This window comes from Homo sapiens, chromosome 12 (genome assembly GCF_000001405.40).
Source record: "Homo sapiens chromosome 12, GRCh38.p14 Primary Assembly".
NCBI lineage: Eukaryota > Metazoa > Chordata > Mammalia > Primates > Hominidae > Homo > Homo sapiens.
In genome coordinates, this window is record NC_000012.12 from 120,213,499 (window position 1) to 120,227,156 (window position 13,658).

General features: G+C 57.9%; 1 protein-coding gene and 1 long non-coding RNA gene across 40 annotated transcripts in view, besides 6 other annotated features; one reads left to right on the plus strand and one right to left on the minus strand.

Annotated features, from left to right (window-relative positions):
* Window positions 1-13,658, minus strand: part of PXN (paxillin) — a 55,284-nt gene that overhangs the window by 3,052 nt on the left and 38,574 nt on the right. For 3 of the 38 annotated variants that reach the window (NM_002859.4, NM_001385990.1, NM_025157.5), the window contains exons 2-10: window positions 10,653-10,879; window positions 10,220-10,335; window positions 9,365-9,501; window positions 9,051-9,252; window positions 8,125-8,260; window positions 1,605-1,775; window positions 1,327-1,500; window positions 638-719; window positions 344-492 (exon numbers count right to left, since the gene is read on the minus strand). In NM_002859.4, the coding sequence (NP_002850.2) occupies window positions 344-492; window positions 638-719; window positions 1,327-1,500; window positions 1,605-1,775; window positions 8,125-8,260; window positions 9,051-9,252; window positions 9,365-9,501; window positions 10,220-10,335; window positions 10,653-10,879 (1,394 nt within the window). Of the gene's footprint in view, window positions 1-343; window positions 493-637; window positions 720-1,326; window positions 1,501-1,604; window positions 1,920-2,061; window positions 2,164-2,431; window positions 3,084-3,342; window positions 3,619-5,708; window positions 6,594-8,124; window positions 8,261-9,050; window positions 9,253-9,364; window positions 9,502-10,219; window positions 10,336-10,652; window positions 10,880-11,144; window positions 11,230-12,654; window positions 13,620-13,658 lie in introns of those variants that run through there. The other 35 variants (XM_047429246.1, NM_001385989.1, XM_047429240.1 and 32 more) reach the window with 33 other exon arrangements.
* Window positions 2,506-3,232: an enhancer, noted in NCBI's record as "H3K4me1 hESC enhancer chr12:120653807-120654533 (GRCh37/hg19 assembly coordinates)". NCBI's record gives its function as "activates a minimal SCP1, AML or CMV promoter by ChIP-STARR-seq in naive H9 embryonic stem cells {active_cell/tissue: H9 hESC(naive)}" and the evidence as "EXISTENCE:reporter gene assay evidence [ECO:0000049][PMID:30033119]".
* On the plus strand, window positions 6,593-11,923 carry LOC124903034 (uncharacterized). Of its 2 annotated transcripts, XR_007063487.1 has the most exons (3): window positions 6,593-7,427; window positions 7,817-10,905; window positions 10,982-11,923. It is a non-coding gene; the product is annotated as an uncharacterized LOC124903034 (long non-coding RNA). The 2 variants fall into 2 exon arrangements; XR_007063486.1 differs by having other exon boundaries at window positions 7,817-11,923.
* Window positions 11,390-11,439: a silencer, noted in NCBI's record as "silent region_4943". NCBI's record gives its function as "represses an Ori minimal core promoter by ATAC-STARR-seq in GM12878 lymphoblastoid cells {active_cell/tissue: GM12878}" and the evidence as "EXISTENCE:reporter gene assay evidence [ECO:0000049][PMID:35858748]".
* Window positions 11,557-12,238: an enhancer, noted in NCBI's record as "NANOG-H3K27ac-H3K4me1 hESC enhancer chr12:120662858-120663539 (GRCh37/hg19 assembly coordinates)". NCBI's record gives its function as "activates a minimal SCP1, AML or CMV promoter by ChIP-STARR-seq in primed H9 embryonic stem cells {active_cell/tissue: H9 hESC(primed)}" and the evidence as "EXISTENCE:reporter gene assay evidence [ECO:0000049][PMID:30033119]".
* Window positions 11,748-12,042: a silencer, noted in NCBI's record as "tiled region #4390; HepG2 Repressive non-DNase unmatched - State 10:DNaseD". NCBI's record gives its function as "represses a minimal TATA promoter and a strong SV40 promoter by Sharpr-MPRA in HepG2 cells {active_cell/tissue: HepG2}" and the evidence as "EXISTENCE:reporter gene assay evidence [ECO:0000049][PMID:27701403]".
* Window positions 12,856-12,905: an enhancer, noted in NCBI's record as "active region_7135". NCBI's record gives its function as "activates an Ori minimal core promoter by ATAC-STARR-seq in GM12878 lymphoblastoid cells {active_cell/tissue: GM12878}" and the evidence as "EXISTENCE:reporter gene assay evidence [ECO:0000049][PMID:35858748]".
* Window positions 12,922-13,602: an enhancer, noted in NCBI's record as "H3K27ac-H3K4me1 hESC enhancer chr12:120664223-120664903 (GRCh37/hg19 assembly coordinates)". NCBI's record gives its function as "activates a minimal SCP1, AML or CMV promoter by ChIP-STARR-seq in naive H9 embryonic stem cells {active_cell/tissue: H9 hESC(naive)}" and the evidence as "EXISTENCE:reporter gene assay evidence [ECO:0000049][PMID:30033119]".

The following is a 13,658-nucleotide window of genomic DNA, read 5'->3' on the forward strand; positions in this document are numbered from 1 at the left end:
GCAGTGGTTTTGGAAACCACTGCCCATTTCTGTTGAGTCTGCTAAATACTTGCATTATCTCATTTAGTTCTCACACACTCTCCTCCCAAATAGGAATGGCCCAGGGCCGCTGCACAGGGCTGGACTGGGGGACATGTCTACCTTGCTCCTGGTTTGTCCCAGCCTCAGTACAAACCCTGGCCCAGGACCTACTGGACTGGAGGAAGGAGATCCCCTGCCTGCTCCCCCAATTAATAACCCCAAATGAGGCCTCTGAGTTGGATCCAGACAGCACAATGAGGAAGACCCCTCTCTCCCCACTGCCTGCTCCTCGCCCCTCCAGATGTGGTCAGGGGCTCCTTACCCGGCACACAAAGCACTCAGGATGCCACAGCGTGTTGAGGGCTGAGATATAGTTCTCCAGGATGGCCCGGGCGCAGCCGCCACACTTGGGTGCGAACATGTCGAAGTAGTCCTTGCGACAGTAGGCCTTGCCGTCCTTCTCGTGGAACCCTGGGGAGCGGGGGTTTTGGAGGCACAGTTCATTCCGGCTTCCAGAAGTGGAGCCACTCTGACTCCAACCTCAGCAGCGTCTCCCACCCCCACCTCCCCGGCCCTCCTAAGAGGCGGTGGGTCAGTCCGCCGGTCCAGCCCGTACCTTCGGGACCAAAGAAGGCTCCACACTGTGCACAGAAGAAGTGTTCAGGGTGCCACGTCCGGTCAAGGGCTGTCACCACTTTCTGTGAAAGCAAAATGTGGGATCAAGGCTGAGCTCTGGGCAGATCTCACAACTGAGACGCCCAGCAAGGCCGTCCTTCCACCCGCAGCTCATAGCCATAGACAGAGCAAAACACTCCCAAGATGGGGGTCTCTCCTAATTGTGCTGTGAATGCCTCTAAGAATTCAGAGTTACTCAGGATGGGACAAGCCAGACACATACCCTCTCCTCTACTCCTCACCCCAAGTAGAGGGCACAAGTTCTATGACTCCCATTTTATAAGTGAAGAAACATAGGCTCAGAGAGGCCAGGCATTTCCTAAGTTCACAGAGAGGGAGAGTGAGGCCGCTGGCATCCAACTCCATTTATCTCCTCAGGGCTCCTGAGTCCTGGGAGTCTCCACAGAAAGGAATCGAGATGGGAGGTGAAGGGAGGTGGGGCTGCCCGATGCACATCGGGACAGGCTGTGGTTCAGGTGTGGCTGTGAATCCGGCCCCACTGTTCCCTAGCCCTGTGAGCCTCGGGCATGTGACCTCTCTGAGCCTCCCACGGCACCCCCTGCATCCTCAGAGGGCTGCGGTGAAGCTGGAATGAGCGGAAGCGGGCGCGGTGCCGGATGAGGAACTCACATCCAGGATGGGGCCGTTGCAGTAGTAGCAGCGCGGGGAGAAGAGGTTGTGGTAGTCCTTTTCACAGTAGGGCTGTCCATCCCGCTCGAAGAAGTTCCGGGATCCGATCTCCTCCTGGCAGTGGGTGCAGACGAAGTGCTCGGGGTGCCACGTCTTCCCCATGGCGGTCACAACCTGAGGAGGAGATGGAATGCGGTCCAGGGCCAAGGCCAGCCCCGGAGCACCCCCACCCCTGCAGGAGTCCACTGGCCACACCCCTGCCCACTCCCCCTCATCACCTGCCCGGCGATGGGCTTCTTGCAGGCCCCGCAGACTCCTTTGGCGACTGTGGCGACCCCCAGCTTGTTCAGGTCAGACTGCAGGCTCCCCAGCATGCTGTCCAGCTGGCTCCCGGGCTTCGGGGGCCCCCCAGGGGGTGAGCTGCTCCCTGTCTTCCCCTGGGCCATGAACTGTGGACACGGAGGGGGCTGGTCAGGACTCCTGAGGCTCGGGGTACGGTGTCTGGCAGCACAGGGATGGGGGTACTTTTCTCCCTCCTGGACAGATGAGCTGATGGAGACAAGAAGTACAACCTCCTCCAGGGGCCAGGAGCCCTAAAGTGGGAGTGACGTCAGCAGGACTCCTGGTGGTCGGAGGGGCCCACCAGGGTCGGAAAGGCTGAGGGCACCCAGCAGGCATGGCCAAGCCCAGGGAGAGCACGACACGCAGGACACCCAGCCCAGCCTTGGCACTGACCCCTCCCTCGTCCTGCCCTCCGGGGCTGCTCCGCCCGCCGTCCCGAGGCCAGCCGGCCGCCCAGCACCGCTCCCCATCCGCTCTTTGCTCCAGGCCCTGGATCTTAGATAGGGGAAGAGATGAGGGTAAGAAATCTTTTTTAAAAATTAAGAAAGAATACAAGACCTTGTCACTGGACTAAAAGGGAATCTAGGATGAGATCTGAGGGTTTCTCCCCCACCGGCAGGACCAAAATTGGGGGAAAAAATCTGGAGAAAAAGAGCCCTGAGAGAGAGGCCTAGGGAGAAAGGAAGAAGGACAGGGAGGGGAGTCGACCAAAGGCAGAGGAAATGGCAAGGGGAGGTGGCCGGGCTCAGTGATGAGGCCTCACCGGGCGCTGGGCCTGGGGGCTGGAAGGGAGGAGACAGGTTTCTGGTCTCCCTTCTGGAGTGGCTTCTTTCCTCGATGGGAGCCCGGGGCAGTACTGAGGACCAGTCGAGGAAGGAGCAGACATGGGTGGACCCACAGAAAAGCAAGAGGGCAGCGGACCTTCTGAGTGGGGGAAGACCGGGGTCAAGGTTTACGGCAGGACTGTGGTTACTGTGCTGGGGCTTGTAGATGGAGGGATGGAGGGTATCTGTGTATGTGTGTGTGCACGTGTGTGTGTGCAGAGTGGGGGATGGCTCAGGCATTAGGACAGGGGACAGAAAGGGAGGGGCTCCTTTAAGGCCTGCCTGCATCGGGGGGAAGAGCGGGTCCTCATCAGTCTGGCAGCCCACGGACCTCATGGTGTGGGGTGCAGGAATGGGAAGGGCAGGGCCCTGCACCCCCTCATCATGGGGCTCTTCCCCTGCACTCTGGACCCCAGAAGAACCACAGGTATAAGCTGAGGGCCCCAGGGGGGAGGAGGCGAGCAGGCTGGGCAGGGGAGAAGAGCTGCTGGCCGCGGCGTCTGTGCGATGCTGGAGCAAAGGGACAGAAGGAGAAGCCAGGACAGAGATGGTTCTTCTCAGGGGAATGGGAGAGCCAGGAGGGAAGACAACCTGGGGAGAAGAAAGGAGGGAGAGCGATGAGGAAGAAATCGCCAGCTCAGCCCACAGGGGTGGCGGGACCTCCCCAGGCTCCCCCTGGGCCTTCCCACTCTGCACCAAGAGTGGGGCCAGTCTTCCAAAGTCACAGGAGGCAAGAAACCCCCACCCTCTCCCCAGATCTCCCCTCCGGCCAGCACTGGGGCCAGGGAAGAACCCGGACCCCAGGTGCTTGGCTCTGGCCCAGCCCCAGCCATGGGCATCTCCTCGCCACCTTCTCTACGAGCTGCCCCCCGGCCCGCTTCCCACGTGGCTGCACAGTGATGATGACGCCCTCGGTCAGCCAGTCCTGGGCAGAGGGCCCCGCCGCCTCCGCCGGCTCCTCTGCCTCAGGCTGGATGCCCAGCCGCCCCTGCAGCTCCGCGATGAGCTGTTCCTGGGATGGGGTCCTGCTCAAGGTGGCAGGGTCCAGCCGGCGGCGAGGGGAGGGCTCCCGGGACATGGGGTGTGCGTGGCCAGACTCCCAGCTCCTCCTGATCACAGATCGGATCTAGGGGGAGGGGGAGGGGAGGCTGTCACCGTCCCACTCCCAGCTTGCACAACGCTGCTCAGGCCACACTCAGATGCCTCAGGAGAGGGAGCACAAAAGAAAACCACCAAAGAACCAAGCGGAGGTGGGTGGAGGCACGGGGAGGGGGCAGATTGGACCGGTGGAGGTGGGTAGAGGCAAGGGGAGGGGGCAGATCGGACTGGCTCCAGAAGCACAGGCTGCGAGCGAGACCTCTGACCCAGCATTCACCTCTAAGTTGGCCACTGACCTTGGGCAAGACACTTAATTGCCATGGGCCTCAGCTTCCCCTTCCTTAAAATGGAACCACAAGATTTTCTTGGCTTACCGCACAGGGTTTGCACAAGAATTATTCCAGAGGATGTAAGTGCATGCCCTTGACAAGGCATACGGCTTTTTCTTTTTTCTTTTTTTTAATTTATAATAGAAAAAGTGTTTCCTTCCAGGAACTTTTTTTTGGGGGGGGACAGAGTCTCGCTCTGTCGCCCAGGCTGGAATGCAGTGGCGCGATCTGGTCTCACTGCAACCTCCGCCTCCTGGGTTCAAGAGATTCTCCTGCCTCAGCCTCCTGAGTAGCTGGGATTAAAGGCATGCACCACCACGCCTGGCTAATTTTTGTTGTTGTTGTTTTTTGTTTTTTTTTTTAGTAGAGATGGGGTTTCATCATGTTGGTTCGGCTGGTCTCAAACTCCTGACCTCGTGATCTGCCTGCCTCGGCCTCCCAAAGTGCTGGGAATACAGGTGTGAGCCACCGTGCTCAGCTAGCCAGGAACTTTTTTAACTAGTTTTTTTTTTCTTATTTATATTATTATGCTAATATTATATTATGCTATTATACTTGTTGGTAGTGTTTTGGGGGTTTTTGGTTGTTTCGTTTTGTTTTCCAAAGAGGCATAAAGCTTGGGGGATTTTTTTTTTTTTTTTTTTTTGAGACAGTGTCTTGATCTGTTGCTCAGGCTGAATGCAGTGGTGCGATCACAACTCACTGCAGCCTCAAACTCCTGGGCTAAAGCCATCCTCCTGCTTTAGCCTCCCCAGCAGCTGGGACTATAGGCATGTGCAACCACGCCCAGCTAATCTTTAATTTTTTGTAGAGACAGGGTTTCACTGTGTTGCCTAGGCTGGTCTCAAACTCCTGGGCTCAAGCGATCCTCTTGCCTCAGCCTCCCAAAGTGCTAGGATTACAGGTATAAGCTACTGTGCCAGGGTGAGGCATAAAGTTTTTTGTTGTTGTTGTTGTTTTGTTTTTGTTTTTTGAGACCAAGTTTCACTCTTGTTGCCCAGGCTGGAGTGCAATGGTATGATCTTGGCTCACCGCAACCTCTGCGTCCTGGGTTCAAGTGATTCTCCTGCCTCAGCCTCCTGAGTAGCTGGGATTACAGGCATGCGCCACCATGCCCAGCTAATCTTTTTGTATCTTTAGTAGAGATGGGGTTTCTCCATGTTGGTCAGGCTGGCCTCGAACTCCCAACCTCAGGTGATCCGCCCGCCTCGGCCTCCCAAAGTGCTGGGATTACAGGCGTGAGCCACCACACCTGGCCCGGCATAAAGTTTTAATTTAAGCAAAAAGCAAGTAATAAAAGTACTGTCAGCCACGGCCTATTGAGGGACCACATGCTGTGTTCTAAACACTTTCCAGGAATTATCTCATTTAGGTCTCCGGACAATCTTGATGGAAATTCTCCCCACTTTACAGATGAGAAAACTGAGGCTGAGGGAGGGGGTTGCCCAAGGTCACAGAGGTAGCAAGTGTTAGACATGTGGTTTGTATCTAGGTCTATCTGGTTCCAAAGTCCATGCTGCTAACCATTTCACCACATCAGAATGTCAAGGACAGCTCATCTGAAAGGAAAAAGCCTCAACAAGGCAAGAGGTGGGTTGACGCTATGAGAAATGCTGGGTCCACAGAGCCCACTGCCAAGTGCTGACTGTCAGGTCCGGCCACAGTGTCTCAGCATTTTCTGCCCAAGCAGACATGCGCAGAGTGGGAGGCTGCATGCAGTTAGCGAGGAGCGGCCCACACTCAGACCCGCCAATGGCCATGCCCAGCAGCCATGCGAGCTGGTGCCTGCCTGGCCAGAGGTGGAAATCCTCTCCGTGGTGCTGGGTGTGCCCATGGCCATGGCACATGGAAGCTCTGGCTGTTCCTTCCCGTCCTGGGTGGCAGCTTCCGTGGTGCCCTCTGGGCTCCTTGGGGTTTCAGGTCCCTGGGTTGGCCTGGCCACACTTCCCCTCTCGGTCATCTTTGCACCTAGCTGCTCCGTGGTAACTGAGGCAGGGGAGCTGCTTCCCAGCCTCCCTGGCTCTGGCCTTGGCCTCTCCTGCTGTAGGCCATGTTCCTCCGTGAGAGTCCAGGTATCTGGGAAGATGGCCTGCCGGTCCACTGCCACTACAGCTGGCTCTGTTACTTCTTGGAAGCTTCGAGCAGCTCCAGAGGGGGGCATTCTCTCAGGCCCGAATACCTCCGAAGCCCATGGCTGCTCCCATGTGGCAGCCAAGGCCTCCTCTGGGCACGAAGGGCTGGCTGGTGGCCCCTGGGGCTCCCCAGGCTCTTGGAGAGCTGTGCTCCCAGCACAGGGTACAGTGTGGCAGCGGGGAGCCCCAGAGAGCTCACTTGTGATGGTCGGCAGGTGCCTCCAATCTCGACCCTGACTCTCTGTGCCCACTGCCCACAGAGAACCCTCCACAGAGGGAGACCTTGAGTTGAAGGTGTCAGGCATCACCCCAAGACCAGCCAAATCAAGCCAGCTGGGGGCTACAGGAGGTAGAAGGCCTCGTCCACTCTGCTCAGTACAAGGGAACTCCGGAGTGTGGCCCTGGCCTCGAGGGGAGGGTATAGTGGTGGGTGGCAGAAATACAGATGGCATGGGAGGAGGAGAAGGAGGAAGGGAGCAGTATGAGGACGGAGCAGAGCTGGACAGCCCCGGGGCACTCAGAGCCACAGTGGAGGAGCTGGTCTGGAGAAGAGAGAAATGCAGAGGGGAGAGGAGAGAGAGAGATGAGGGGAGTGAGGACGGCTGCACCTTGCAGGCGGTGGGCTCGGCCTTAGGGCTGACCAAGGTGGCTGCAAAGCTGACGCACAGGACTGACCCTTGAAGGAGACCCAGACCCCAAAAAAGCTTCCCTGGGCTTTGCGTGCTTAGCCCTCACCAAACCCAAGCAAGAGAAAGCAGCCACCAAGCCGTGCCTGTGGAGCCACCCAGGGAGGGTATGAGAAAGAAAAGACCACGGTAAGGTGGACAAATGGGGAGCCAGGTGGCTACGGAAGACAGCCCCAGGCACAAATGGAGGGAGAGCCAGCCCCAGGGGCTGCTGAACCCGCCTCGGACACTGGCCCAACTCGGCCATGTCCCTCCGGACAATCCCAGCTTTCCTACACCCCAAGTCCTCTACGTCTTCCACATCCTTGCTCCAGGGATCTGACTAAAACCACTGCTGCTTCTCCTGGCATCAGGACACAGGCTGTCTGAGAAAACGGCAGCCTTAAAAGCACCGGGGCACAGCTCCCTCAGGCCAGGCCCTGAATCCAACTTACTTGCTTCTGACCATGGCTGCTCAGAACCACTGGCCTGGAGCTGGAACTATAGCACGCAAGGGTCACAGGGCCAGGCTCAACCCTCCACCCCAGCCACACTCCTGTCTCCCACCATGAAACCTCAGCTGAAGGGAGGCTAGGAGACACCATCAGGGCCAAGGGTGCAGGGACCGTTCACTCCCCTCTCATATTCCCTAGGTCATGCCCCAAAGGTCTCCAGCTGACCCACGTGGAAGTATGAAGTCAGCAGCTGCTGGTGAGTTCTGTCAATATCAATCCCCAAGGAAACACTGAATCCTCTAAATTAAACATCTCAGGCCTGGCAGGACTGGGGAGGCCCAGCAGGGGAGGGGAAGGGCAGGTACCTCGTGCAAGCCTGGCCCCATGGTTTCCCACAGACACGCTCGTGGGAACTCAGAGGCCCTGGAGGGCGAGAGGGAAGGATGGGAGAAGAGTAGCAAGGGAGGCTTGTGGATTCAGGATCAGAGGCAGAAAGAAAGAGGATGTGTTGAGGACAGCTAGCGTGGGAGATGGGGCTCCAGGGCAAATGACCTCCCAGGCACAGGCTCCCAAGTCCCACATGGCCCAGCAGAGAATGCCCTCCCCCACCCAGAGCAGCCATCAACACAAGGTTCTTTGTCCCAGCGTCCCAGCCTCCTGATCCCCTCGACCTGAGAGGCTGGGAGCACCCAGGGAGGAAGGAATGTCCCAGCTGAGCACTTCTCCAGCTTGTCTGCCTTCACTGGCTACTGCAATCCTCAGGCAGGCTGACCCGGCCCTCCCTCCCCATCTCCTGGCATCACAGCAAGGCCAGGGCATGACAGTGTCCCTGGCTCAGGGGCAAGGCACCCAAACACTGAGATGCCAAGATCCAGCTACCCACACTGAGGTAAGGGAGGAGAAGGATGAGGGAGGGGCGGCAGGGCAGGGAAGATGGAGGGTTCACAGGGCACCTTGAAATCCGACAGCGAAGCCATCAGCTCGTCCAGCTCCCTGGTGGCAGAGGAGGCCGAGATGCGTGTCTGCTGTTGGGTGGAGGTGACGCGCTGCGGGCTGCTCATCTCGCCCTGGTTCACAGTGATGGCAGGGCTGCAGGGTGGGCACAGCATCAGTGGGGAGCCCACAGTCAGCCCCACACTTCCCGGGGATCAGATCGACCTCTCACCTCGGACACTGGGGTCTCACCATCCCCAACCCCAGGGAGGTCCACCAGCTCCCTGTCTCTCCTGGGGACCCATCACTGGGTCAGAAGAAAGGGCAGTTCAATGGCACCAGGAAGTGCCAGGAAGACTCCTCTAGCCCCCAGCCCAAGTGAAAGCTGGCCTGCGAAACAAGCCCAAGCGCCCTGTGTTTCCTCCACAACACTGGACATGGAGGTGAGGCTACTGCAGTAACACGACGGCACTGGTAAGAGCTCGCGTGTTGGGCACTCACCATGTGTGCCACGCACTACACACCAGAAACCATTCCAAGCGCTTTACATGGATTACTGGTTCTCACCCTTACTGAGGTAGGTGGTCTTATCCCAGTGATCCCATAAGTTCTTGTCCCATTTTACAGATGGGAAAACTAAGGCTTGAGAGCTGACAGTAACTGTCAGAGCCAAGATGTGAACCCCACTGTGTGGCCCCAAAGCCTGTGCTAAGAGCTGCTAAGCTCCAGGCGCCCTCAGCCTGCACAACGTCTGTCCTTTCTGACTGGCAGTGACTGGCTGAAGGCAGGGATGGTGTCCATGTGACTCACCACTATCCCCCCAGTGCCTGGCAAATGGCAGACACGGGAGGGAGTGGGTGATACCAGGGCTAAGGGGACAGACACTGGACCCGGGGCAGGCTGGGCCAGCCCTTCCCCACCTGGGGAGGGCCCAGTGGGTACTCACACGGGGCTGGGCACGGAGCTCTCCAGTTCATCCAAGAGACTCTCCACACTGGGCCGCACGTCCTCCAGGCCCCGGCCCCCATTCCGCTTAGGCTTCTCTTTCGTCAGGGGCCCAGCTTTGCCTCCCAAGGGGCTGTTAGTCTCTGGGACACCATAGAGGGGGCTCAGGGCCCCAGGAAGCGGGGGGCTTGAGTTGGCCTCATCTTGCAGAGAGGAGAGAAAAAGGCTGCTCAGCCCTTGAGCCCTCCTGGGATCTAGAGGTCAGCAGATGGGCCCTGGGCCCTGGTAGACCCTGCCCCAGGGACCCGGTCCTACCTGCAGGGAAGCCTGGCGGGTTATGCTGTACAGCGTTCAGTTCCAGCAGCAGGCGGTCGAGTTCAGAAAGGTTGCTGCCCAGGGACGTGCTCATTACGGTGGGTGAAGGCTCAGCTGATTTCTGCTTGTTGGGGAAGCTTTGAGAGGCAAAGGAAAGAAGATAGTGAGAGATGCTTTCTGGCCTTGTACTGGCTTGGCAGTTCCCAGATTCCCAAGGAGAACAAGGCAGAGGAGATGCGAAGTCTTCCCCCGCAAGAGGACAGAGGGTAGGGAAGGGATGTGGTAAGAAGAGGGGAGGAGGCCGGGCACAGTGGCTCACGCCTGTAATCCCAGCACTTTGGGAGGCTGAGGCGGGCAGATCATGAGGTCAGGAGATTGAGACCATCCTGGCTAACACGGTGAAACCCCGTCTCTACTAAAAATTAGCCAGGCGTGGTGGTGGGTGCCTGTAGTCCCAGCTACTTGGGAGGCTGAGGCAGGAGAATGGCGTGAACCCAGGAGGCGGAGCTTGCAGTGAGCCGAGATCGCGCGACTGCACTCCAGCCTGGGCGACAGAGTGACAGAGCGAGACCCCGTCTCAAAAAAAAAGAAAAAAAGAAGAGGGGAGGAATGAAGTCTTGCTTCAGTTCCTCAGCTACACGGAGATGCTGTGATAGCCCAGAATGTCCACTGCATGGAGATGGCACTGATGAGGTAGACGGGCCCACCGACAGGCCTTCTGCAGCTTAAACCAGAATAACCCCACAAGGCCCAGTTGCTATGCCTGCTCCCGGGCCTCCGCTGCCTCCCACCCTGGCCAGGTCCCTGAGATTTCTAAGCAGGAGGGAAGGTGCCCTGGGCAGACTGGGGCAGTACCTGTAGACGTGCTCCTCCTCACCCACTCGGGAGCACGGAGAGCCAACACTGTCCTGAGGGTTGGAGACACTGGAAGTTTTGGCACTGGAGCCGTACACAGGTGATGAGGACTGAGGCTGCGAGAAGGAGAATGCTCAGAGGCTACCCCGAGGGGAGAAAAAGGAACAGGGGCCAGGAGCAGCTCCAGTCACCCCCAGGAGGCTCCTGCCCACAGCCAGTCTCACCAGGGAATTTCCACAGTTGGGCCAGGAAACCTGTGATTAACCACTTGGTCACTGTTCCACTCACGTGGTGAGTGGGAAGAGCAGTGTCTGGTTGGGAAGGGTCGACTGCCCCAATTCCATTCCATCCCCTGGCTCCCTAAGCCCCTGCCAGCTAAGTTCCCTCTGTCCCCCAGCCTCCTTGGCCTTCCCAGCCACTGTCCCCGCCTCACCTGCTGGTGGATGAATCGGGAGCTGCTGGGCTGCCACTGGTCTAAGGGGTCAAGGATTGTGCCATTGAGGGCCTCGCTGGACGGGGGTGGGGGGACGGGGGGTGGCACGGCAATCTCCTGGTATGTGTGGTTTCCAGTTGGGTATGAGTAGGGGGTCTCCTCCGACAAGAACACAGGCCGTTTGGAGATGTGGGAGGTGGTAGACTCCAAGTCCGCCAGCAGGGCGTCTGCAAAGAGAAGGCACGGGTAGCAGGTGAGAACCGGGATCCTGGGGACTCTCCCGTGGCAGGGCCCTCCCTGCCTGCACCTCAAGAGTTAATGCCTTCTAGCACCTGCCCCACCCATGGGAGAAATGACCAGCCTTGGGACAGGAAGCCACCAGCCCCGACCAGCCTAACCAAGAGCCGGCTCCCAAAGCTAACTTCTTCTGGCCACCCAGGACTGAAAGTGCTCTAGAGGCGGGCTCTGGGGCTGCCCTGTGGGATCTCCTACCTCTGGGAGTCAGGCACCTGGCACTGCGTTCCCTCCTGACAGGGCCGCGCAGCCGCGAGTGAAGTGCCTGTCTGGAACTCTGAATCTGCAGGGCAACGCGGAGAGAATGGGCGGGAGGGGCCCCACGTCACAGGGAGGGGCCCTGGCTATGCCAGGCCCTCACTTGATTTCTAAGAGCTTAGGCTTTCCCAGCCCCCGACTGGAAGGGGCACTCAGGATGGTCCCTGCCCTCCTAACCAGGTGGAAGCAGAAGCCCAGGCTCCAGGTTCCTCCTGAGGCTCTAGGCTTATGGGGTAAGGTGTGCGGGGAGGTGGGGGCTGGAGTGAGGCTGGTGCAGCGGTCCCCACCCCCTCAGTGAGCAGGGGGCAAGACTGCTCCATTGGCTGTTTCTGCGGAAGTCTGGCAAGCAGCCCGGCCCCAGAGGCTCCAGGCCCCCACTGTTCTGCTTTTAACAGCGGCAAGGGAGCCAAATCAGCCCTCTAGTGTAAGCTTCCATTACCCTGGCACCTGGCAGCCAACAGGGGGGCACTAGGTCTCCCCAGTCTCCAGAAAAGAAGGGTATAGAAGGGCAGGAGTAGGACCTGCTGACCCCCACTTCCTCCATCCCCTCCTGGGACCCTCAACAGCCCCACGGCTCAGACAGCCTGGCCCTGGATGCCACACCCTCATTCCTGCCCCGTTCACAACTTGCTTGCTCTCAGCTCCCCGGTAACCTGCTGGGTCCAGGGAGCTGACAGCTTGATCCCTAGCCCTCAGGATAATAAACATCTAAAAAGCAATGGCTGCGTTTATTGCCACTTATCAGTAGCAGGCAGACTGCTAGGCATTCTAGCAGCATGTACGAGGTCTCCGTTAATCCCCCTAATACCCCCTGTAGCTGGAAATGATTCTCCCCGAAGCGATGAGGAAAGCCGGGCTTGGAGAGGCAGAGGTCAGAGGTGTTTGCTCCAAATAACAAAGCCAGTGAGTGGCACAATTGTCTGACTCCTCAGAAGCCCCAAACCCCAAAAACCTGGCCTGTAAGAGGCCACTATGACTACCAGATGATGCCATACTTAAAGGGTTCAACTTCCTGAATGTTGGAGGCCCAAGCTGTGAGGCCTGCCAGTGTGATCCTTCCTTGTGGCCTTGCTCCCAGTCCCCCAACCTGTGTTCAGAGGAGGGAATAGAGAAGCAAGGCCCTCACCCAGGGCCTCGGTCTATGGGGCCACACCTTGTCCCAGCTGCCTGTCCTGATCTCCTACCCTCAAGGCTGGCCACACCTACCCCATGCTCCTGCCCAGATGGACAGAGGGGATGTCTGTTCCAAGGCCCAGGACCCCGGGTCTGGTCGCCTGACCTCCAAGGAAGTTCAGGTCCTACAGCCCGCCCCGCCCTCCGGGTCCCATGGAGGAGGCCTGGCTTCCTGTCTCTAGCAAACCGGAACTAGAGGGAGTTGGTAGGTATCTAGGTAACGGCAGAAAAGGAACCAGTGTCCAGGCCAATCCCCACGGCCTCTCCAGGGCCACACCTGCTGTCTTGGCTTCACGCAGTGTCCTCATTTCCTCTGGGCCCAATCAGCAATGGGTGGATCCCTCTTTCTCCACCATGGGCAGGGCCAGCTAAGAAACCCCATAGGACTCCCCAGAGCAGGCAACGAATGAGTGCAACCCCAGTAGGGGGCAGGAGCAGCTGCCATCCTTGAAGGCCCACTGGGGCCAGGAGCTTCACCTTTGTTACCTGCCATCCTCACAACGCCACCAGCACAGATGGTATAACTGCGGTTCAGAGGCAGAGTCACATCCCACACTGCCAAGGCTGGATGAAGTGACAATGCTGGACTCTGATCTCAGGTCTCTTGGACTCCAAACACCCAACAGAAGACAAATGGTCAGGCTTCCTTGTCAAACATTTTGAATCAGGGACTCCACCAAACACCCGCTCCACCACAATGTGATTCTAAGCCTGGGCTTTTGGTTTATGGATTGGATTCAGGTTTACAATGTCAACAGGCTCTTGGGAGCACAGATCCCTAGGCTGGTGAAGTATTGGTGAGAGGATGCAGTCCTGGGGCACAGAGACACAAGATCACTCATTCTGAGGTCGAGCCAGACCTGAGTTCAAGTGCCAGCTCCCCTCTCTACCATCCATGCCACAGGGCAAATCGCTTAGCTTCTCAGGGCCTGTTGTCTCAGTAAGCTCTTGAATAACTCTGACCTCAAAGTACTGGTGTGAGGTTTATAAGGGCTAGCAGGTACACTGGAAGCTGCAGACATCAGTTGCAAATATCAGGCTCTCCAGACCCAAGTCACTCTGCAGGAGGAAGCTCCATAGCACATTGGAAGCTACAAACATCAGATCTGATTTGCTCTGTAAAATCCAGAATAAGGTCTTCCTCCAAGGAGAGCAGTGTAGGTAGGATGCAAAGTACTAACTTCTTCTAAGTCTCCTAAGTCTTTTCTGGGTAGAATATGAGCAAACCATGAAAAGGGCAACCTTGAAAAGAAAAGAAAAGTAATAAAGTAACATTCAAAT